The sequence below is a fragment of the Homo sapiens genome, chromosome X (genome assembly GCF_000001405.40).
Source record: "Homo sapiens chromosome X, GRCh38.p14 Primary Assembly".
In the NCBI taxonomy this organism is placed as follows: Eukaryota; Metazoa; Chordata; class Mammalia; order Primates; family Hominidae; genus Homo; species Homo sapiens.
In genome coordinates, this window is record NC_000023.11 from 56,189,357 (window position 1) to 56,214,906 (window position 25,550).

A 25,550-nucleotide genomic window follows, 5' to 3' on the forward strand; every position below is an offset into this window, starting at 1 on the left:
AAATCAGGAAACAACAGGTGCTGGAGAGGATGTGGAGAAATAGGAACACTTTTACACTGTTGGTGGGACTGTAAACTAGTTCAACCCTTGTGGAAGTCATTGTGGCAATTCCTCAGGGATCTAGAACTAGAAATACCATTTGACCCAGCCATGCCATTACTGGGTATATACCCAAAGGACTATAAATCATGCTGCTATAAAATCACATGCACACATATGTTTATTGTGGCATTATTCACAATAGCAAAGTCTTGGAACCAAGCCAAATGTCCAACAACAATAGACTGGATTAAGAAAATGTGGCACATATACACCATGGAATACTATGCAGCCATAAAAAATGATGAGTTCATGTCCTTTGTAGGGACATGGATGAAATTGGAAATCATCGTTCTCAGTAAACTATCACGAGGACAAAAATCCAAACACCACATGTTCTCACTCATAGGTGGGAATTGAACAATGAGATCACATGGACACAGGAAGGGGAACATCACACTCTGGGGACTGTTGTGGGGTGGGGGGAGGGGGGAGGGATAACATTAGGAGATATACCTAATGCTAAATGACGAGTTAATGGGTGCAGCACACCAGCATGGCACATGTATACATATGTAACTAACCTGCACATTGTGCACATGTACCCTGAAACTTAAAGTATAATAATAATAAAATTAAAAAAATAAAAAAATAAAAAATCTGGACCTAGTGATTTGTTACCTGCAAGAATCACATTTCGTCTATAAAGAAACATATACAATAAAAATAAAGGGATGGAAAATTATATTGCATGCCATTGGAAACATAAATAAGCCACCAGTAGCTATACTTTTATCAGACAAAGTAGATTTCAAGACCAAAACAATAAGAAGATAGTAGAAGGTCAATACACAATGACAAAGGGGTCCACTGAGCAAGAGTATATAACAATTGTAAATATATGAGTCCAACACTGGAGCACTCAGATATATAAAGCAATTATCATTAGAGCTAAAAAAGAGATAGACCCCAATACAATTAGAGCTGGAGACTCCTGTACCCCTTTTTCAGTATTAGACAGATGTTCCAGACAGGAAATCAACAAAGAATAATCAAACTTAATCTGCACTATAGATCACATAAATCTAATAAATAATTACAGAACATTTCATCCAATGTCTCTAGAATAAATATTTTTTCCTTGGCATAAGTATCATTCTCAAAGAAACATCATATTTTAGGTAACAAACAAGTCTTAAAACACTCAAAAAATTGAAATAATATCAAGCATCTTCTCTGAACATAATGGAATATAACTAGAAATTAATAAGAATAATTTTGGAAACTATACAAACGCATGAAAATTAAATGTATCCTCCTCAATGACCAGTGAATCAACAAAGAAATTAAGAAGAAAATTAAAACATTTCTTGAAAGAAGTGAATACCCACTATACCAAAACCTATGGGATACAGCAAAACCAGTATGAAGAAGGAAGTTGATTGATATAAATACCTATCTCAAAAGACAAGGTAAGCTTTAAATAAGCAATCTAATGATGCATCTTAAAGAACTAGAAGAGCAAGAGCAAACAAAACCCCAAATTAGTAGAAGATATACTACAGATAACAAAAGAAATAAATGAATTTGAGAAAAAGAAAATAATACAAAGGATCAACTACACAAAAATTGGTTTTTTGAAAAGTTAAACAAAACTGACAAACCTTTAGTCAGACTAAGAAAAACAAAAAAGAGATCCAAATAAATAAAATCAGAGATGAAAAAGGAGATGTTATAAATGATACTACAGAAATTCAAAGGATCATTAGTGGCTACTATGGGCAACTATATGCCAATAAATTAGAAAATCTAAATGAAAAGGATAAATTGCTAGAAACATACAGCCTACTAGCAATGAACCACAAGGAAATTTGAAACATGAACAGACCAAAAACAGGTAATGAGATTGAAGCTGTAGTTGAAATTGTCTAAGCTAAGAAAGGTCTGGGACCTGATACATTCACAGCTAAATTTTATCAGACATTTAAAGAAGAACAAATACCACTCCTACTCAAACTATTTCAAAAACTAGAAGATGAGGGAGTACTTCCAAACTTATTCCATGAGGCCAGTATAAACCAAAATCAGACAGAGACACCAAACAAAGAAAACTACAGGCCAGTATCACTGATAAGTATTGATGCAAAAATTCTCTAGAAAATTGTAGCAGAAAGAATTCAACAATAGATTAAAAAGATCTTTCATCTTAACCATCTGGGATTTATCCCAGAGATTCAAGGATGGTTCAGAACATGCAAATTAATCAATTTGATGCATCGTATCAACAAAATGAATGGCAAAAATTATTCGTTCTTGTATTGAAATGATCATTCTTGATCATTTCAATTGATGCTAAAAATGCATTTAATAAAAATTCAACATAACTTTATGTTAAAAATTATTTAAAAACTGGGTATTGATAGAATATACCTCCGACTAATAAAAGCCATATATGACAGACCCACAGCTAGTATTATACTGAACAGGAAAAATTTAAAGCCTTTGCCTAAGATCTGGACCACAATAAGGATGCCCATTGTCACCACTGTTATTTCACGTAGTATGGGAAGACCTAACTAAAGCAATCAGACAAGAGAAGGAAATAAAGGGCATACAAATCAGAAAGGCAGAAGACAAATTATTCTTGTGTGCAGATGATATGATTTTATATTTGGAAAATTCCAAAGATTCCACAAAAACTATAAGAACTGATAAACAAATTCAGTAAAGTTGCAGGATAAAAAGTGAACATGCAAAAATCAGTAGAATTTCTTAATGCCAAGAGGAAACCATCTGAAATAAGAATCAAGAAAGCAATTCCATTTACAATAGCTAAAATTAAAGAAAATGCCTAGAAATTAATTTAACCAAAGAAATAAAATATCTTGACATTGAAAACTATAAAACATTGATGCAATAAATTCAAGAAGACAACAATAAGCTGGAAAGATATTCCATGCTCATGTACTGGAAAAATCAATATTAATATATACTACAAAAAGCAATCTACAGGTTCAATGCAATCTCGATCAAAACACTAATGGCACTCTTTAGAGAAATAGAAAACACAATCCTAAAATTTATATGGTACCACAAAATACCTAAAATAGCCAAAGCTGTCCTAACGAAAAACAACAAAACTGAAGGAATCATAATACCTGACTACAAATTATGCAAAATCTATATTAACCAAAACAGCACAGTAATGGCAGGAAAAGACACATAGACCGGTGGAAAAGAATGCAAAACCTGGAAACAAATCCATATCTACAGTGAAGTCATTTTTGACAAAGGTGCCAATAACATAAATTGGGGAATGGAACATCTCTTCAATAAATGGTGCTGGGAAAACTGGATATCCATATGCAAAAGCATGAAACCAGACCCCTTTCTCTCACCATATACAAAAGTAAAATCAAAATGGATTAAAGACTTGAATCAAACATGTTAAAGTAAAATGGTAAAGTTAAAGTTTCTATCACAAGAAAACATTGGGGAAAATCTCCAGGACTTTGGCCTGGGCAAAAATTTCTTACTACACAAACACAGGTAACCAAAGCAAAAATGGACAAATGGGATCACATGAAGTTAGAAAGCTCTGCACAACAAAGAATACAATCAACAAAGTGAAGAAACGACCCACAGAGTGGGAGAAAATCTTTGCAAACTACCTTTCTGACAAGGGTTTGAGAACCAGAATGTGTAAGGGACTCAAACAACTCTTTAGGGAAAAATCTTATAATCCAATTAAAGAAAGAGCAAAAAAATTAAAAAGACATTTCTCAAAAGAATACATACAAGTGGCAAACAAGCTTATGAAAAGGTGCTCAACATCCCTGATCATCAGAGAAATACAAATCAAAACTACAATGAAATATCATGTCACCCAGTTAAAATGGCTTTTATCCAAAACACAGACAATAACAAATGTTGGCAAAGACGCAGAGAAAAGGGAACACTTGTACATTTTGGGTGGGGTTGTAAGTTAGTACAACCACCATGGAGAACAGTTTGGAGGTTCCTCAAAAAATAAAAATAGTGTTGCCATATGATCCAGCAATGCTACTGCTGGATATATAACCAAAAGAAAGGAAAGCATTATATCTAAGAGATATCTGCACTTTCATATTTATTGCACCACTATCAACAATAGCTGATACTTGGAAGCAATTGAAGTGTTCATCAACAAATGAATGGATAAAGAAAATGTATATATACACAATTGAGTATTATTTAGCCATAAAAAAGATTGAAATTCTGTCATTTGCAACAACATGAATGGAATTGGAAGCTATTATGCTAAGTGAAATAAGCCAAGCACAGAAACACAAACTTCACATGTTAAGGCTTATTTATGGGAACTAAAAATTGAAGCAGTTGAACTCATGGGGACAGAGTAGAAGGATGTTTACCATAGGTTGGAAAGGGTAATTCAGTGGTGTGGGGAAGTGGGGATGCTTAATTGGTGCAAAAAAAATTGAAAGAATGTATTGGACCTACTACTTGCTAGCACAAGAGAGTGACTATAATAAAAATAGTTTAATTATACATTTTAAAATAACTAGAAGAGTGTAACTGGATTGTTTGCAACACAAAGGAAAAAATGCTTTATGCTGTAGATAGCTTATTTACCCTGATGTGATTACTGTGTATTGCATCCTTGTATTAAAATGTCTCCTCTAACTCGGGGTGGGGAGGTGTTCCAAGATGGCCAAATAGGAACAGCTCCAGGCTGCAGCTCCCAGCGTGATCAAAGCAGAAGATGGGTGATTTCTGCATTTCCAACTGAGGTACCTGGTTCATCTCATTGGGACTGGTTGGACAGAGGGTACAGCCCACAGAGGGTGAGCTGAAGCAGGGCAGGGCGTCACGTCTCCCAGGAAGTGAAAGGGGTTGGGGGATATCCCTTTCCTACCCAAAGGAAGCCATGGCAGACTACCTGGAAAAACGGGACACTCCCACCCCAATACTGCACTTTTCCCAAGGTCTTAGCAACCAGCAGACAAGGAGATTCCTGTGCCTGGCTTGGCGAGTCCCAGACCCGCAGAGCCTTGCTCACTTCTTGTGCAGTAGTCTGAGATCAAACTGCGAGGTGGCAGCCTGACTGGGGGAGGGGTGTCCACCATTGCTGATGCTTGAGTACATAAATAAAGCAGCCTGGATGCTCGAACTGGGCAGAGCCCACTGCAGCTCAACAAGTCCTACTGCCTCTAGACTCCACCTCTGTGGGCAGGACATAGCTAAACAAAAGGCAGCAGACAACTTCTGCAGACTTAAATGGCCCTGTCTGGCAGCTCTGAAGAGCAGTGGTTCTCCAAGCATGGTGTTTGAGCTTTGAGAACGGACAGACTGCCTCCTCAAGTGGGTCCCTGACCCCCATGTAAACTAACTAGGAGACATCTCCCAGTAAGGGCTGAAAGACACCTCATATAGGCAGCTACCCCTCTGGGACAAAGCTTCCAGAGGAAGGATCAGACAGCAATATTTGCTGTTCTGCAATATTTGCTGTTCTGCAGCCTCCGCTGGTGATACCCAGGCAAACAGGGTCTGGAGTGGACCTCCAGCAAATGCCAACAGCCCTGCAGCTGAGGGACCTGAATGTTAGAAGGAAAACTAACAAACAGAAAGGAATACCATCAACATCAACAAAAAGGTCATCTACATCAAAACCCCATCTGTAAGTCACCAACATCAAAGACTAAAGGTAGATAAAACCACAAAGAGGAGGAGAAACCAGAGAAGAAAAGCTGAAAATTCTAAAAATCAGAGTACCTCTTCTACTCCAAAGGATCACAGCTCCTCAACAGCAACAGAACAAATCTGGATGGAGTATGACTTTGACAAGTTGACAGAGGTAGGCTTCAGCAGGTCAGTAATAACAAACTTTTCCAAACTAAAAGTGGATGTTCAAACTCATCACAAGGAAGCTAAAACCCTTGAAAAAAGATTAGATGAATGGCTAACTAGAGTAACTAGTGTAGAGAAGACCGTAGATGACCTAATGGAGCTGAAAACCATGGTTTGAGAACTTCGTGACACGTGCACAAGCTTCAATACCCGATTCAATGAAGTGGAAGAAAGGGTATCAGTGATTGAAGATTAAATTAATGAAATAAAGCCAGAAGACAAGGTTACAGAAAAAAGTAGAAAGAAACAAACAAAGTGTCCAAGAAATGTGGGACTATGTAAAAAGACCAAATCTGTGTTTGATTGGTGTACCTGAAAGTGATGGGGAGAATGGAACCAAGTTGGAAAAGACTCTTCAAGATATTATCCAGGAGAATTTCTCCAACCTAGCAAGGCAGGCCAACATTCAAATTCAGGAAACAGAGAGAACACCACAAAGATACTCCTTGAGAAGAGCAATCCCAAGACACATAATTGTCAGATTCACAAGGGTCAAAATGGAGGAAAAAGTTTTGAGGGCAGCCAGAGAGAAAGGTCGAGTTACCCACAAAAGAAAACCCATCAGATTAACAGTGGATCTCCTGGCAGAAACCTTACAAGCCAGAAGAGAGTGGGGGCCAACACTCAACATTCTTGTAGAAAATAATTTTCAACCCAGAATTACATATCCAGGCAAACTAAGCTTCATAAGTGAAGGAGAAATAAAATTTTTTACAGACAAGCAGATGCTGAGAGATTATGTCACCACCAGGACTGCCTTCAAGAGTTCCTAAAGCAAGCATGAAACATGGAAAGAAACAACCGATACCAGCCACTGCAAAGACATGCCAAATTGTAAAGACCATCCATGCCATGGAGAAATGGTATCAATTAATGGGCAAAATAACCAACTAACATCATAATGACAGGATAAAGTAAACACATAAAAATATTAATCTTAAATGTAAATGGGCTAAATGCCCCAATTAAAAGACACAGACTGGCAAATTGAATAAAGAGTCAAGACCCATCAGTGTGCTGTATTCAGGAAACCCATCTCACGTGCAAAGATGCACAGAGGCTCAAAATAAAGGGATGAAGGAAGATTTACCAAGCAAATGGAAAGCAAAAAAAAATAAAAATAAATAAAATAGGAGTTGCAATCCTAGTCTGTGGTAAAACACACTTTAAACCAACAAAGATCAAAAGAGACAAAGAAGGCCATTACATAATGGTAAAGGAATCAATTGAACAAGAAGAGCTAACTATCCTAAAGATATGTGCACCCAATACAGGAGCACCCAGATTCATAAAGCAAGTCCTTAGAGACCTACAAAGAGACTTAGAATCCCACACAATAATAATGGGAGACTTTAACACTCCACTGTCAATATTGCACAGATCAACAAGACAGAAGATTAACAAGGATATCGAAGACTTGAACTCAGCTCTGCACCAAGCAGATCTAATAGACATCTACAGAACTCTCCACCCCAAATCAACAGAATATACATTCTTCTCAGCACCACATCTCATTATTCCAAAATTGACCACATAATTGGAAGTAAAGCACTCCTCAGCAAAGGTAAAAAAAAGAAATCATAACAAACTATCTCTCAGAGCACAGTGCAATCAAATTAGAACTTAGGATTAAGAAACTTACTCAAAACAGCACACCTACATGGAAACAGAACAACCTGCTCCTGAATGACTACTGGGTAGTAACGAAATGAAGGCAGAAATAGAGATGTTCTTTGAAACCAATGAGAACAAAGACACAATGTACCAGAATATCAGGGACACATTTAAAGCAGTGTGTAGAGGGAAATTTATAGCACTAAATACCCACAAGAGAAAGCAGGAAAGATCTAAATTTGACACCCTAACATCACAGTTAACCACAGAAGCAACAGCAAACACATTCAAAAGCTAGCAGAAGGCAAGAAATAACTAAGATCAGAGCAGAACTGAAGGAAATAGAGACACAAAAAAAAAACCTTCAAAAAATCAATGAATCCAGGAGCTGGTTTTTTGAAAAGATCAACAAAATTGATAGACCACTAGCAAGACTAATAAAAAAGACAGATGAATCAAATAGATGCAATAAAAAATGATAAAGGGGATATCAACATTGATCTCACAGAAATACAAACTACCATCAGAGAATACTACAAACACCTCCACACAAATAAACTAGAAAATCTAGAAGAAATGGATAAATTCCTGGACACATACACCCTCCCAAGACTAAATCAGGAAGAAGTTGAATCCCTGAATAGACCAATAACAAGCTCTGAAATTGAGGCAATAATTAATAGCCTACCAACCAAAAAGAGTCTAGGACCAGATGGATTCACAGCTGAATTCTACCAGAGGTACAAAGAGGGACTGGCACCATTCCTTCTGAAATTATTCCAATCAATAGAAAAAGAGGGAATCCTCCCTAACTCATTTTATGAGGCCAAAATCATCCAGTACCAAAGCCTGGCAGAGACACAACAAAAAAAAGAGAATTTCAGACCCATATCCCTGATGAACATCGATGCAAAAATCCTCAATAAAATACTGGCAAACCGAATCCAGCAGCACATCAAAAAGCTTATCCACCATGATCAAGTTGGCTTCCTCCCTGGGATGCAAGGCTGGTTCAATATATGCAAATCAATAAACATAATCCATCACATTAACAGAACCAAAGACAAAAACCACATGATTATCTCAATAGATGCAGAAAAGGCCTTTGACAAAATTCAACAGCCTTCCATGCTAAAAACTCTCAATAAACTAGGTAATGATGGGACTTATCTCAGAATAATAAGAGATATTTAGGACAAACCTACAGCCAATATCATACTGAATGGACAAAAACTGGAAGCATTCCCTTTGAAAACTGGCACAAGCAAGGATGCCCTCTCTCAGCAGTCCTATTCAACATAGCGTTGGAAGTTCTGGCCAGGGCAATCAGGCAAGAGAAAGAAATTAAGGGTATTCAATTAAGAAAAGAGGAAGTCAAATTGTCCCTGTTTGCTGATGACTTGATGGTATATTTAAATAACCCCATCGTCTCAGCCCAAAATCTCCTTTAGCTGATAAGCAACTTCAGCAAAGTCTCAGGATAGAAAATCAATGTGCAAAAATCACAAGCTTTCTTATACACCATTAACAGACAAACAGAGAGCCAAATCCTGAGTGAACTCCCTTTCACAATTGCTACAAAGAGAATAAAATATGCAGGAATCCAATTTACAAGGGATGTGAAGAACCTCTTCAAAGAGAACTACAAACCAATGCTCAACGAAATAAAAAGAGGACACAAACAAATGGAAGAATATTCCATGCTCATGGATAGGAAGAATCAATATCATGAAAATGGCCATACTGCCCAAAGTAATTTATAGATTCAATGCCATCCCCATCAAGCTACCAAGGACTTTCTTCACAGAATTGGAAAAAACTACTTTGAAGTCCATATGAAATGAAAAAAGAGCCTGCATTGCCAAGACAATTCTAAGTCAAAAGAACAAAGCTGGAGGCATCATGCTACCTGACTTCAAACTATACTACAAGGCTACAGTAACCAAAACAGCATGGTACTGGTACCAAAAGAGAGTTATAGACCAAAGGAACAGAACAGAGGCCTCAGAAATAACACCACACATCTACCACCATCTTATCTGTGACAATCCTCACCAAAACAAGAAATGGGGAAAGGATTCCCTATTTAATAAATGGTGCTGGGAAAACTGGCTAGCCATATGTAGAAAGCTGAAACTAGATCCCTTCCTTACAGCTTATAAAGAATTAATTCAAGATGGATGAAAGACTTAAATGTTAGACCTAAAACCATAAAAACCCTAGAAGAAAACCTAGGCAATACCATTCAGGAAATAGGCATTGGCAAGGACTTCCTGACTAAAACACCAAAAGAAATGGCAACAAAATCCAAAATAGACAAATGGGATCTAATTAAACTAAAGAGCTTCTGCACAGCAAAAGAAACTACCATCTGAGTGAACAGGCATCCTACAGGATGTGAGAAGGTTTTTGCAATCTACCCATCTGAAATGGGCTAATATCCAGAATCTACAAAGAACTCTAACAAATTTACAAGAAAAAAACAAACAACCCCATCAAAAAGTGGACAAAGGTTATGAACAGACACATCTCAAAAGAAGACATATATGCAGCCTACAGACACATGAAAAAATGCTCATCACTGGCCTTCAGAGATGTGTAAATCAAAATCCCAATACCATGTCACGCCAGTTAGAATGGCAATCATTAAAAAGTCAGGAAAAAACAGATGCTGGAGAGGACGTTGAGAAATAAGAATGCTTTTACACTGTTGGTGGGAGTATAGATTAGCTCAATTATTGTCTAAGAGAGTGTGGCGATTTTTCAAGGATCTAGAACTAGAATTACCATTTGGCCCAGCAATTCCTTTATTTGATATATACCCAAAGGATTATAAATCATGCTTCTATAAAGACACATGCACACGTATGTTTATTGCGGCACTATTCACAATAGCAAAGACTTGGAAACAACCCAAGTGTCCATCAATGATAGACTGGATTAAGAAAATGTGGCACATATACAGCATGGAATAGTATGCAGCCATAAAAAAGGATGAGTTCATGTCCTTTGCAGAGACATGGATCAAGCTGGAAGCCATCATTCTCAGGAAACTATCGCAAGGACAAAAAAACCAAACACTACATGTTCTCACTCATAGATGGGATTTGAACAATGAGATCACTTGGACACAGGGCAGGGAACATCACACACCAGGGCCTTTTGGGAGGTCTGGGGCTGGGGGAGGGATAGCATTAGGAGAAATACCTAATGTAAATGATGTGTTGATGGGTGCAGCAAACCAACATAGCACATGTATACCTATGTACCAAACCTGCTCATTGTGCACATGTACCGTAGAAGTTAAAGTATTTAAAAAAGTCTCTTCTAACTCATAAACGTAAACACATTGTATGTACTCACAAAAACTAAAACTTAAGAATTAAAAAAAGGTGAACCAATAAAGAGTCTAAAATATCTACAAAAAATTAAATATAAAACATATAAAAATATAACTAAGTATTTTTAAATTAAAAATAATATTAAATGGTGTTGGGAAAATTGGACATTCACATGCAAAAAAAGTGAAATTGGGCCTTTAGCTTAGATGACATACAAAAATTAACTTGCATGGAATAAAGAAAGAATCCATAAAAATCCTAGAAGGAAACAATAGAGAAAATATCATTCACATTGGTCTTGGCAATGATTTTATAGATGTAAAACCAAAAACACAAGCAAAAAAAGCAAGTGAACTACATCAAACTAGAAAACCTCTGAGCAGCAAAGGAAACAATCAAAAAAAAAATGAAAAGCCATCTTATGGAATGGGAAAAAATATTTGCCAGCCATATATCTGATAAATGTGTTAATAATCAAATATATAAGGAATGCCTACAACTCAACAGCAAAAAATTAATAATATCCCACTTTAAAAAGGAAGAAAGGACCTGACTAGACATTTTTTTCCAAAGAAAACATACAAATAGTCAAAAGGTATATGAAAGACACTCAGCATTATTAATCATTAGGGAAATGCAAATCAAAATCACAATAATATATCACATCACAAGTGTTAGGATGGCCATTACTTTTTAAAAAATAAAAGATGACACATATTGGTTAGGATTGTGGAGAAAACTACAGTTTTGATGAGAGTGTAAATTGTTACAGCCATTATGGAAAACAGTGTGATGTTTTCTCAAAAAATTAAAAATAAAACTACCATATGATTTAGCAATCCCACTTCTAGGTATTTATCCAAAGAAATTGAAATCAGGATCTCAAAGAGTATTTGTATTTCAATGTTCATTGCAACATTATTCACAATAGCCAAGACAAGAAAACAACCTAAATGTCCATTGGCACAAGAATGAAGAAAGAAAATGTGATACATACATACAGTGAAATATTATTCACCCTTTAAAAAGAAGTAAATTCTGCCATTTGTGACAACATGGATGGAGCTGGAGGATAAGATGCTATGTTAAATAAACCAGGCAAAGAAAGACAAGCACTATGTGATCACAATTATTCGATGAATCTAAAACAGGCAAACTCATACACACAAAAACATGGTAGTTGTTAGGGGTTGGGGCGGGGAATGGAGAGATGATCATGAAAGGGTACAAAGTTTCAGTTATGCAAGGTAAATACATCCTGGAGATCCACCATACAGCATAGTGCTTATACTTATCAGTACTGTATTGTAGTTAAAATTTGATAAGAGAATAGTTCTTATATTAAGTGATCTCACAAGAAAGAATTATTATAGTGAAGAAGACAGAAGGAAACTTTGGGAGGTGATGGATATGTCTATGGACTTGATGGTTTCATGGATATATACTTATCCTCAGACTCATTTAGTTGTATACATTAAATATGTACAGTTTTTACATGTCAATCATACCTCAATAATGTGCAGCCATAAATTAAAATTACATTAATAGAGGCTCATCAAAAACCCAGTAGCCTAAATATGGCTGGCCCTAAGTCAGTTTTCAACAAATTCTTGTTTTCCTGGACTTAAATAAAATACATGAGTTATTTCGTTTATCAAGTGGAACAGCATGGAGCCATGAAAACATTGATCATTGAGATCTGTGGATGCCTTACCAATATTAAGAATTCAGGACTCTCTTGGGATTCGGGAAGTATGTCAACAACTTCTCCCTCATTGCCAAGCCCATTAAGACTTGACTTGCAAGTATCTGAGCCTCCTAGAGAAGAGTATCCACTCCCAGAGAGTGAGTATGAAGAAGGCTCGTACTGTCCAATAGTCCTCCAGGTGAACTGTTGGAGTATTTATGAGAGAGAAGAGCTACAAACTGACTTTTGAGACCCTACCTTTTTTTTTTCACATTGCATGACTAAGTCTTTTGATCTGTCTTTTTGGTTTGTTTGTTTGTTGGGTTTTTTTGTTTGTTTTCTTGTTTATTTTTGTGGGTACATAGTAGGTGTATATATTTATGAGGTATATGAAATATTTCATACAGGCATGCGATGTGAAAGAAGCACATCATGGAGAATGAGGTATCCATCCTCTCAAACATTTATCCTTTGAGTTACAAACAATCCAATTACACTCTTTTAGTTATTTGTACATGTACAATTAAGCTATTGTTAACTATAGTCACCCTGTTGTGCTATCAAATAGTAGGTCTTATTTCTTCTTTCTAACCATTTTTTTGTACCATTAACCTTCCCCCCCCCTCCCACCTGCACTCCATTATCCTCCCCAGCCTCTGGAAACTATCCTTCTACTCTCTGTGTCTATGAGTTTCATTGTTTTTATTTTTAGATCCCACAAATAAGTGAGAACATGTAATGTTTGTCTTTCTGTGCCTGGCTTATAACATAATGATCTCCAGTTCCATGCATATTGTTGCAAATGACTGAATATCATTCTTTTTGTGGCTGAATAATATTCCATTGTTTATATTTACAGCATTTTATTTATCCATTTATCTGTTGATGGGCTGTTAGGTCCCTTCCAAATCTTAGCTGTGGTAAACCCTGCTGGAACAAACATAGAGGTTCAGATATCTCTTTGATATACTGATTTCATTTCTTTTGGGTATATACCCAGCAGTAGGATTGCTGGATCTTATGGTAGCTCTGTTTTTAGATTTGGAGGAACCTCCAAACTGTTCTTCATAGTGGTTGTACTAATTTACACCCCCACCCAAAATATACAAGTGTTCCCTTTTCTCTGTATCCTTGCCAACATTTATTATTGTCTGTGTTTTGGATAAAAGCTATTTTTAACTGGAGTGGATGACATTTCATTGTAGTTTTGATTTGCATTTCTCTAATGATCAATGATGTTGAGCACCTTTTCATATTCCTGTTTGCTATTTGTATGTCTTCCTTTGAGAAATATCTATTTAAATGTTTTGATCTTTTTTATTGAATTATAAGATTTTTCCCTATATTGTTGTTTGAGCTCCATATACATTCTGGTTACTAAACCTGTGTCAGAAAGGTAGTTTGCAAAGATTTTCTCCCACTCTGTGGGTCGTTTCTTCACTTTGTTGATTGTAACCTTTGCTGTGCAGAAGCTTTCTAACTTCATGTGATCCCATTTGTCCATTTTTGCTTTGGTTACCTGTGCTTGTGGAATATTGCTCAAGAAATTTTTGCCGAGGCCAACGTCTTGGATATTTTCTCCAATGTTTTCTTGCAGTAGTTTCATAGTTTAAGATGTTCGATTCAAGTCTTTAATCCATTTTGATTTTACTTTCGTATATGGTGAGAGAAAGGGGTCTGGTTTCATTCTTTTGCATATGGATATCCAGTTTTCCCATCACCATTTATTGAAGAGATGGTCCATTCCCCAATGTATGTTATTGTCACGTTTGTCAAAAATGACTTCACTGTAGATGTGTGGATTTTTTTCTGGGTTTGCTATTCTGTTCCACTGGTCTATGTGTCTTTTCATGCCAGTACCATGCTGTTTTGGTTACTATATGTTTAGCATAATTTGAAGTCAGGTAATGTGATTTCTTTGGTTTTATTGTTCTTGGTTAGGATAGCTTTGTCTATTCAGCTTTTTTTTTATGGTTCCATATGCATTTTGGAATAGTTTTTTCTAGTTCTGTGGGGAAGGTCTTTGGTATTTTAATAGGAATAGAGTTGAATCTCTAGATTGCTTTATGTAGTGTGGACATTTTAACATAGTTAATTCTTCCAATTTTGAACATGGAATATTTTTCCAATTTTTAGTGTTCTCTTAAATTTCTCTCATCAGTGTTTTACAGTTTTTATAATAGAGTTTTCCCACTTCTTTGGTTAAGTTAATTCCTAGATATATAATTTTTTGTGTGGCCATTGTAAATGGGATTACTTTAAAATGTTTTTCAGACTGTTCACTGTTGGCATATAGAAATGCTACTGATTTTTGTATGTTGATTTAGTATACTGCAAATTTACTGAATTTGTTTGTCAGTTCTAGTAGCTTTTTTGTGGAGTTTTTAGGCTTTTGCAAATATATGATCATATCATCAGCAAACAAGAATAATTTGATTTCTTCCCTTCCAATTTTGATTTCCTTTATATTCTGCTCTTTTCTGATTGCTCTAGCTAGGACTTCCAGTACTACGTATAAGAACAGCATTGACAATGGGCCTCCTTGTTGTGTTACGGATCTTCAAGAAAAGGTTTTCACTGTTTTCTCATTGAGTATGGTACTAGCCATGGGTCTGTCATATATGGCTTTTATTATGTTGAGGTATGTTACTTGTTTCCCCAGTTTCTTTAGGGTTTTTTTTTATCATAAAGGGATGTTGAATTTTATTAAATGCTTTTTCAGCATCAGTTGAAATAATCATATGGCTTTTCTCCTTCATTTTTTTAAGTTCCTCTGTCAGACCTTCTGTTGTCCTATGAAAGTTCCAATGTAAGTTGCCCAGCAAAATACAAAGTCAAACTTAATCCCCATAGTATGACATTAAACTGTCTCTAGATAACAACAGTTTGATTCTAAATGGAGAGCACTGATCTGTTTCATTTTAAGGGTAACCTACTGCTTGGGGATGGGGTGGGGGGAGAGTATGTGTGACATGCTTTACTGAATCTGTGTTAATCACATCCTTCCCCACCTTTGTTCTAATTTTAGAAGCTGGGCAGAGAAATCGAGCTGCAAAATGACCTACAGATATTACAGTTTTATTCTTGGAAAATGGAGGTTGTCTATTAGTGTGATGGTAACAACCAACTAATAAAATTTGGAGACTAGACTGCTTGTCATGTCTGGGGTTCACTGGAAATCAATGATTCACTGGAACAATTCTCCTGTCAAAAAAAATGTGAGGTTTGTAACTTGCCCTAAGTATAACAAGGGATATATTTTAACAAAGGATGTATTTTTTCTTAAGAAGCAACCATTTCTCAGCTTATACATAATAGCAATAATAAAGTCTTTGACCCTATTAATGATTTTCTTATTTAATCTTGATTTTTACAGTTCATCACTGCATTTCATTATGGGAAGATTTAAATATTAAATAGAAACTAGCTAGCTTAATAAAATCTGAACACAGTTAATGTCTGTCATAATGCTCATTTTAATACATTTCTATCCTTCATTCTGTTGATATTATGTATCATATTGATTGATTTGCACACAATTCACCATCATTGCATCCCAGGGATTGCACTTGGTCATGATGAAGGATCTTTCTAATGTATTGTTGAATTTGGTTTGCTCATAGTTTGTTGAGGATTTTTGCATCAATATTCATTAGAGATATTGGCCTGTAATTTTTTTATATGTCTTTGTCTGCTTTTGGAATCAGGGCAATACTAGCCTTGTGGAATGAATTTTAAAGTATTCCCTTTTCACCTATTTTTTCTGAATAATTTGAGTAGGATTGGTGTTAGATCTTCTTTAAATGTTTGGTGGAATTCACCAGTGAAGCCACTGGGTCCCAGGATTTTCTTTACTGGGAGACTTTTTAATACAGCTTCCATCTCATGACTTATTATTCATCTGTTTGTGTTTTGGATTTTGTATTAGTCTGTTTTCAGGCTGCTAATAAAGACATACCCAAGACTGGATAACTTATAAAGGAAAGAGGTTTAATTGACTCACAGTTCCACATGGCTGGGGAGACCTCACAATCATGGTGGAAGGCTAATGAGGAGCAAAGTCACGTCTTACATAACAGCAGGCAAGTGAGCTTGTGCAGGGGAACTCCCACTTATAAAACCATCAGATCTCATGAGACTTATTTACTACCATGAGAACAGTGTAGGGGAAACCACCCCTATGATTCAATTATCTCCACCTAGCCCTTCCCTTGACACATGGGGATTATTACAATTCGAGGTGAGATTTGGGTGGGGACACAGCCAAACCATACCATCCCACCCCTGGTTCCTTTCACATCTCATGTCCTCATATTTCAAAATCAGTCATGCCTTCACAACAGTCCCCCAAAATCTTAAATCATTTTAGTGTTAACTCAAAAGTCCACAGTCCAAGGTCTTATCTGAGACAAGGCAAGTCCCTTCCACCTATGAGCCTGTAAAATCAAAAGCTAGTTAGTTACTTCCTAGATACAATGGGAGTACGGGCATTGGATAAATAAACCTATTCAAAATGGGAGAAATTTGCCAAAACAAATGGGCTACAGACCTCATGAAAGTCCAAAATCCAATGGGGCAGTCAAATGTTAAAGCTCCAAAATGATCTCCTTTGATTCCATGTCTCACATCCAGGTTATGCTGATGCAAGAGGTGGACTCTCATGGCCTTGGGCATCCCTGCCACTGTGGCTTCTTAGGGTACAGCCTCCCTCCTGGCTGCTTTCATGGACTGGTGTTGTGCCTGTAGCTTTTCCAGGTGCATTGTGCAAGATGTTGGTGAATCTACCATTCTGATGTCTGGAGGACGGTGGCCCTCTTGTCATAGCTCCACTAGGCAGTGCTCCAGATGGGACTCTGTGTGGGGCCCCAACCCCACATTTCCCTTCCACACTGCCCTAGCAGAGTTACATGAGGGCTCTACCCCTGCAGCAAACTTCTGCCTGGACATCCAAGCATTTCCATACATCCTCTTAAATCTAGGCAGAGGTTCCCAAATGTCAGTTCTTGATTTCTGTGCACCCACCGGCCCAAAACCACATGGAAGCTGCCAAGGCTTGGGGCTTGAACCCTCTGAGGCAACATCCTGAGCTAGAGCTCAACATAGATGTTGGCCCCTTCTAGCCATGGCTGGGACACAATGCATCAAGTCCCGAGACTGCACAAAGCAGCAAGGCCCTGGGCCCAGCCCATGATATTATTTTTTTCCTTTTAGGCCTCCAGGCCTGTGATGGGAGGGGCTGCTGTGAAGACCTCTGACATGCCCTGGAGACATTTTCCCCATTGTATTGGCAATTAACATTTGGTTTCTTGTTACTTGTGCAAATTTCTGCAGCTGGCTTGAATTTCTCCTCAGAAAATGGGTTTTTCTTTTTTATTGCATCATCAGGCTGCAAATTTTTCAAAATTTTATGCTCTGCTTCCCTTTTAAACATAAGTTCCAATTGCAAACCATATCTTTGTGAATACATAAAACTTAATGCTTTTAACAGTACTGAAGTCGCATCTTGAACACTTTGCTGCTTAGAAATTTCTACTACCAGATGCCCTATATCATCTTTCTCAATTTCAAAGTTCCACAGATCTCTAGGACAGGGGGAAAATGCCACCAGTCTCTTTGCTAAAGCATAACAAGAGTCACCTTTGCTCTAGTTCTCATATCCATCTGAGACCAACTGGGCTTGGACTTTATTGCCCATATCACTATCAGCATTTTGGTCAAAGCCATTTAACAAGTCTCTAGGAAGTTTCAAACTTTCCCACATTTTGCTGTCTTCTTCTGATTCCTCCAAGCTGTTGCCACCTCTGCTTGTTACCCAGTTCGAAAGTTGCTTCCACATTTTTGGGTATCTTTACAGCCACACCCCACTCTACCAATACCAGTTTACTGTATTAGTCTGTTCTCATGCTGCTTACAAAGACATACCCAAGACTGGGTAATTTATAAAGAAAAGAAGTTTAATTGACTCACAGTTCCACATGGCTGGGGAAGCCTCACAATCATGGCAGAAGGTGAATGAGGAGCAAAGTCACGTCTTACATCGTGGTAGGCAAGAGAGCTTGTACAGTGGAACTCCCATTTATAAAACCATCAGATCTTAGGCGTATTATTCACTATCACAAGAACAGTATGGGGGAAACTGGCCCCATGATTCAATTATATCCACATAGTCCTGCCCTTGACACATGGGGATTATTACAATTCAAAGTGAGATTTGAGTGAAGACACAGCTAAACCATATCAGATTTATTTATGGTTCAATCTTGGTAGTTTGTATGTGTCTAGGAATTTGTCCATTTCTTCCAGACTCTCCAATTTATTGGCATATATTTGCTCATAATAGCCACTAATGATCCTTAGAATTTCTGCAGTATCAGTTCTAATGTCTCCTTTTTCATTTCTGATTTTATTTATTTGGGTCTTATTTCTTTTTTTCCTCATCTGGCTAAAGGTTTGTCAATTTTGTTTAACTTTTTAAAAAGCTAACTTTTTGTTTCACTGCTTTTTTATGCTTTAATTTTAATTTGATTTATTTCTGCTCTAATCCTTATTTTTTTTCTACTAAGTTCTGGTTTGGTTTGCTCTTGCTTTTCTAGTTATTTAAGATCCATTATTAGATTGTTTATTTGAAGATTTTCTTGTTTTTTCATGTGAGCACTTATAGCTGTAAACTTCCCTATTATACTGCTTTTGCTGTATCCCATAGGTTTTGGTATGTTGTGTTTCCATTATCATTTGTTCTAAGAAATTTTTCAATTTTAAATTTTTCATTGATTCACTGATCATTGAAGAGCATATTTTTTAATTTCCATGTAGTTGCACAGTTCCAAACTTCCTCTTTTCAATAATTTCTACATTCATTCCATTGTGTTCAGAGAAAATACTTGATATTATTTTAATTTTTAAAAAAATTTTTAAGACTTGCATGTGATCTAACATATGGTCTATCCTTGAGAATTTTCCACGTGCTAAAGAATAAAAATGTTTATTCTGCAGCTCTTGAATAAAATATTCTGTAAATATCTATTAAATCCATGTGGTCTACAGTGCAGATTAAGTCTGCTGTTTCCTTGTTGATTTTCCGTCTAGAAGATCTGGCCAATCCTGAAAGGGGAGTGTTGAAGTCTCCAGCTATGATTGCATTGGGGTCTTTCTCTTTAGCTCTAATATTTCCTTTATATATCTGTTTGCTGTCGTGTTGGGTGCAAATGTATTTAAAATTGTTATATCTTCTTGCTGAATTGACCCCTTTATCATTATATACTTACATTCTTTATCTCTTCTTATAGTTTTTGTCTTGAAATCTATTTTGTCTGATATTAATATAGTTACTCCTGCTCTTTTTTTGGTTTCCATTGACATGGAATATCTTTTGGTATTTTTTCATTTTCAGTCTCTGTGTGTCTTTACAGATGATGTGTGTTTCTTGTAGTCAAGAGATCCATGGGTCTCGTTTTTTCATTCATTGAGCCAGTGTGTCTTTTGATTGGAGAGTTTAGTCCATTTACATTCAATGTCATTATTCACAAATAAGGACTTTAGCCAGTCATGGTGGTGAGTGCCTGTAATCCCAGCTCCTCGGGAGACTGAGGCAGGATAATTGCTTGAACCCATGAGGCAGAGGTTGTGATGAGTCAGCTGCACTCCAGCCTGGGTGACAGAGGGAGATTCCATCTCCAAAAAGAAAAACATAAATAAGTAAATAAGGACTTACTTTGCTATTTTATTATGTGTTTTCTGTTTTGTTTTTGTTTTTGTTGTCTTCTCTACCTTCTTTCTTTCCTTTCTGTCTTTATCTAGTGAATGTGATTTTCTCTGGTTATATGATTTTGTTTATTGCTTTTTTGTGATTCATTGTATATTGTTTGGTTTGTGGTTACCATGAGGCTTGCAAATACTATCTTATAATCTATTATTTTAACCCAATAACAGTTTAACACTGTTTCCATAAACAAACAAACAAGCATAAATAAAACTAACAAAAACTGTACTTTTTAAGTTTGTCCTCCTGCTTTTTAATTTTTTATAGTTTCTATTTGTAACTTATTCAATGACTATGTCTTGAAAAGTTGTTGTAGTTTTTATTTTTTATTGGTTCATTGTTTATTCTTTCTACTTAAGGTAAAAGTAGTTTGCACACCACACTTACAGTGTTATAATACTCTATGTTTTTCTGTGTATCTACTATTACCAGTGAGTTTTGTACCTTCAAGTGATTATTTATTGCTCATTAATGTCCTTTCCTTTTTGATTGAAATGCTTTCTAGCATTTCTTGCAGGACAGGTCTGGTATTCATGAAATTTTTCAGCTGTTTCTAGGAAAGTATTTATTTTTTCTTCGTGTCTGAAAGATACTTTCACTAGATATGCTATTCTGGGATAAGTTTATTTTTCTTTAGCACCTTAAATATTTCATGCCACTCTCTCCTGGCCTTTAAGGTTTCCACTGAAAAGTCTTCTGCCAGAGGAATTGGAGCTCTATTATATGTCGTTTGTTTATCTTACCTTGCTGCTTTTATGATTCTTTCGTTATCCTTAACTTTTGGGAGTTTGATTTTTAAATGCCTTGAGGTAGTCTTCTTTGAGTTAAATCTGCTTGGTGTTCTATAACCTACTTATACTTGGATATTGAGATCTTTCTCTAGGTTTAGGAAGTTCTCTGTTATCCCTTTGAATAAACTTTCTACCCCTATCTCTTTCTCTACCTCTTCTTTAAGGCCAGTTACTCTTAGATTTGCCCTTTTGACACTATTTTTTAGATCCTGAGGCATGTTTCATTTTTAAATTTTTTTTTTACTTTTATCTCCTCTGTATATTTTCAAATAGTCTGACTTCAAGTTCACTAATTCTTTCTTCTGCTTGATGAATTTTGCAATTAAAAGACTCTGATGCATTCTTCAGCATGCCAATTGCATTTTTCAGCTCCAGAATTTCTGCTTGATTATTTTTAATTATTTCCATCTGTTTGGTAAATTTTTCTGACAGAATTATGAAATCCTTCTCTGTGGTATCTTGAATTTCCTTGAGTTTCCTCAACACAGCTATTTTGAATTCTCTGTCTGAAAGGTCGCATATCTCTGTTTCTCCAGGATTGGCCATTTAGTTCATTTGGAGAAGTTATGTTTTCCTATCTGGTGTAGATGCTAGTAGATGTTCTTCATTGTCTGTGCATTGAAGAGTTAGGTATTTATTGTAGTCTCCACTGTCTGTACTTATTTGTCGCCGTCCTATTTGGGAAGGCTTTCCATATATTTGAAAAGACTTGGATGTTGTAATCTAAGCTCTGTCTGCTTTAGGGGGCACCCCAGGCCCAGTAACACTGTGAATCTTGTAGACTTGTAGAGGTAAGCCTTTATGGTCTTGGACAAGATCCAGAAGAATTCTATGGGTTACCAGGCAAAGACTCTTATTCTCTTCCCTTACTTTCTCCCAAACATACAGAGTCTCTCTGTCTCTTCTGAGCCATCTAAAGCTGGGAGTGGAGTGACACAAGAACCTCTGTGACTACCACCACTATGAATATACTGGGTCACACCTCAAGCTACTACAGCACTGGGTCTTGCCCAAGGCCTGCTGTAACCACTCCGTGGCTACTGTCTAAGTTTGCTCAAGGCCCTAGGGCTCTACAGTTAGCAGGTTGCAAAGCCAGCCAGGCCTGTGTCCTTTCCTGCAGGGCAATGAGGTCCCCAGGCCCCGGGTTGATCCAGAAGTTCCGTTAAGGAGTCAGGGGCTAGAGTAAAAAACCTTTGAATTCTACCTTGTGTTCTTTTGGTTTCCGGCTAAGCTTGCACTCAAACCACAAGATGCAGTCCTTCCCAGTCTTTCCTTCCCTTTCCAAAGGCAAAAGATCCTAGAGCCCACCTGGTGCTCTGTCTGTCTGTGGCCATGCTGGTACCTGAGGTACAAGACAAGGTCCCCTTTGCTTTTCTCAAGCAGAAGGAGTTTTGCCCTGAGGCCACCACAGCTGGTAATGTGCTGAATCTCACCTGAATCTAGCAAATCTCAGCGGCTCACCCAAGGCCTTCAGTGTAGTACCTGGGTATTGCTGCTGGTCATTCAGGGCCCAAGGGTACTTCATTTAGCAAGTGATAAATGCTGCTAGGCCTGGGTCCTTTTCTTCAAGGCAATGGGTTGTCTTCTGGCCCACGATGTGTCTACAAATGTTGTCTGGGGTCTAGGGCCTGGAATGGGGGTGTCACAACTCTGACCAGAGTCCTATCTTGCTGTGGCTAAGCTGGTACCCTAGATGCAAGACAAAGTCCACTCCACTCTTCTCTCTCCTCTCCTCAATTGAAAGGAAGGGGTTTCTTTTGTAGCTCAGAACTGTGTAGCCTGGTGTTTCAGGTAGGGTGATGCTTACACTCCCTTGGCTGTCCCAGCTGATGTTTCAATATGTCTTGTGCCCCCACAATCCACTGTCTCTAGGCTTAGTTTAACTCTAGGATTCACGTAAGTGTTGCAGTCCTTATGGCCTGGATGGCCTTTCAAGTTTACTTAGAAACCTAGAGCACTTTGGCCCTCAGTGATGAGGTTTGTGGGAACTCATGTTTGAACTGCTGTGATTCGCAATTCTCTGGCTAGGGCTGGTTTAAATGCTCCTCCTGTGTATGGGTGTCAGCTGAGTTTGGTCTGGTTTTTATTTCTGCTCTAACAGGATCCCACTGAGTTCAATGCCTCAAATTGCTGTTTCCCTTCTCCCAATGCCCAGAGGCCACCACTGCTGTGTATTCAGGGAGGTGTGGCACTGGCAACTCAGGGCTGTTTTTTCTATCTCTTCAGTGTTTCTTTCAAGGATATGAAGTTAAAACCAGGTACTATGAGTGCTCACTTGATTTTTGCTCCATATGATGGTGTTTTTTTGTGTGTAGATAGTTAACTTGGTGTCCTTGCAGGGAGAGGAGAGACGATTAGTGGATTTTTCTATTCTGCCATCTTGCTCCACCTCTCAGCATGAGTAGGTCTTTTGTTCTTAAAGACATTGTTGTTAGCCTAGGCAGCCTGGAGGTGGTGTTATATTAGATTGGTAAAGGATATATGTGGCCAATGCTTTTGCTAATCAGAGTCCTGAAGACAGTAAGATCCTGGCACTGATGCATGAAATAATTGACCATATCTGAAAATATTTATTTGGCAGTCAGTTTCAAATAGACAGTGACCTAGTTACTAATCACCTGGTGATGGTTTATGTCACCTGGTGATGCTTTATGGTATAGTGAAACATGCATCAGCTCTGGGATTAATCAGAGCTATATTGGAATAGTAACTCTACCATTACTAGTTGTGTGACTTTGAGTCTCCTGTTCTCATCTTTTAAAATGACCTATTTCTTTTTCTTTTGTTTTCTTTTCTTTTCTTTTCTTTTCTTTTCTTTTCTTTTTTTTTTTTTTTTTTTTTTTTTTGAGACAGTTTCACTCTTGTTGCCCAGGTTGGAGTGCAATGGTGTCATCTCAGCTCACTGCAACCTCTGCCTCCCAGGTTCAAGCAATTCTCCTGCCTCAGGCTCCTGAATAGCTGGGATTACAGGCACCCACCACCACGTCTGACTAATTTTTTGTATATTTAGTAGAGACAGGGTTTCACCATGTTGACCAGGCTGGTCTCTAACTCCTGACCTCAGGTAATCCACCCGCCTTGGCCTCTCAAAGTGCTGGGATAACAGGCATGAGCCACCACAACTGGCCTAAAATGACCTATTTCATATGGGTCATAGATGTAAGCATTAAATTAGGTAACATACAGCTTAGTAGTTAATATTAAGACAACATCTGGTGGGGGGTACTTGTCACCCCAGAAGCCCCAGAAGGAGTGTTACAGTCAGCACTCTTTTAGCTTTGCCATCTGCAGATGGCTTAAATGTTTAATGGCTCAGTGGACCCTCTGCCTTTTCACAAGGGCACAGGATCAGTGTGACAGGCTTCTGTATCCTAAACTTTTGCCTGGCATCCAGGAAAAATCAGGTCACACAAACGAATTGAAGGATAGTAAATTCAGGGGATTTTATTGCTGATGGAAGTGGCTCTTGGCAGGAAGGGGAGCTAGAAAGGGGATGGAGCAGGAAGGTATGCTTCCCCTGAAGTTCAGCCATCTCCAGCTGGACTCTTCTCTGAAGTCCTGCCATAAAGCCGTCCCTCTGAAGTCAAACTGCTTCTCCTTGATGTTCAGTTGCTTCTTCTCTTCTCCCCTTCTCTGCTCTTTGCCAGTGAAGCCTGGAGTTTTTATGGGTATAGGATGGGGGGTGAGGGGGGCCAGATGTGGTTTTGGAAAAGGCAACATTTGAGTGGGAAAATGGGGATAATAAAGTTCTCAGTTTGGGCTGATCTTCCAGGCTTGAGGGTGGGGCCCTTGCCAGGGACCCCAGCTTTTTCTGCCTAGAATTTCTCTGCCTCCTGTCCCTATCACTGTTTTAAGTACTTTGTGGATTATCTCTTTAAAACTTCACAGCAATTATATGACATAATGTTATGAACTGATTTGTGTCACACCCCTGCCTCAAATTCATATGATAAAGTCCTAATGCCCAGTATTTCAGAATGTGACCTTATTTTGAAATAGGGCTATCACAGATGTAATTAAGTTAAAACAAGGTGATGAGGGTGGATGAATGACCTCAGTCAATCCAACATGACTGGTATCCTTATGAAAAGGGGAAGTTTGGACACAGATACATGCTTAAAGAGATGATGCGAATAAATATAAGAAGAAGATGGCCAATAACCTTTCAAACATGAGACAATAAATGTCTGTTGTTTAAGCCAATCAGTTGTGGTACTTTGTTATGTTAGCCCTAGCAAACTAATACACATAAGTACTGCAAGTAGCCTCACTTTACAAGGGAAAAGACCAAAACACAGAGTGGTTAAAAAATTTACTCAGCATCACAGAGCCAGGATTGGAATCCAGGCAGTCCAACTCCAAAGTCTAAACTATTAACCACTACCTCATACTGCCTTCCTTGCATAAACATA

General features: G+C 37.6%; 1 protein-coding gene and 1 long non-coding RNA gene across 4 annotated transcripts in view; both read left to right on the forward strand.

Annotated features, from left to right (window-relative positions):
* LOC124900486 (uncharacterized) overlaps positions 1 to 15,737 on the forward strand; it is a 150,609-nt gene extending 134,872 nt beyond the window's left edge. For both annotated transcript variants that reach the window (XR_007068245.1, XR_007068244.1), the window contains exon 2: positions 15,617 to 15,737. This is a non-coding gene — a long non-coding RNA (uncharacterized LOC124900486). The remainder of the gene's footprint in view (positions 1 to 15,616) is intronic.
* KLF8 (KLF transcription factor 8) overlaps positions 1 to 25,550 on the forward strand; it is a 383,409-nt gene that overhangs the window by 281,234 nt on the left and 76,625 nt on the right. The gene's annotated exons all lie outside the window — the stretch shown is intronic.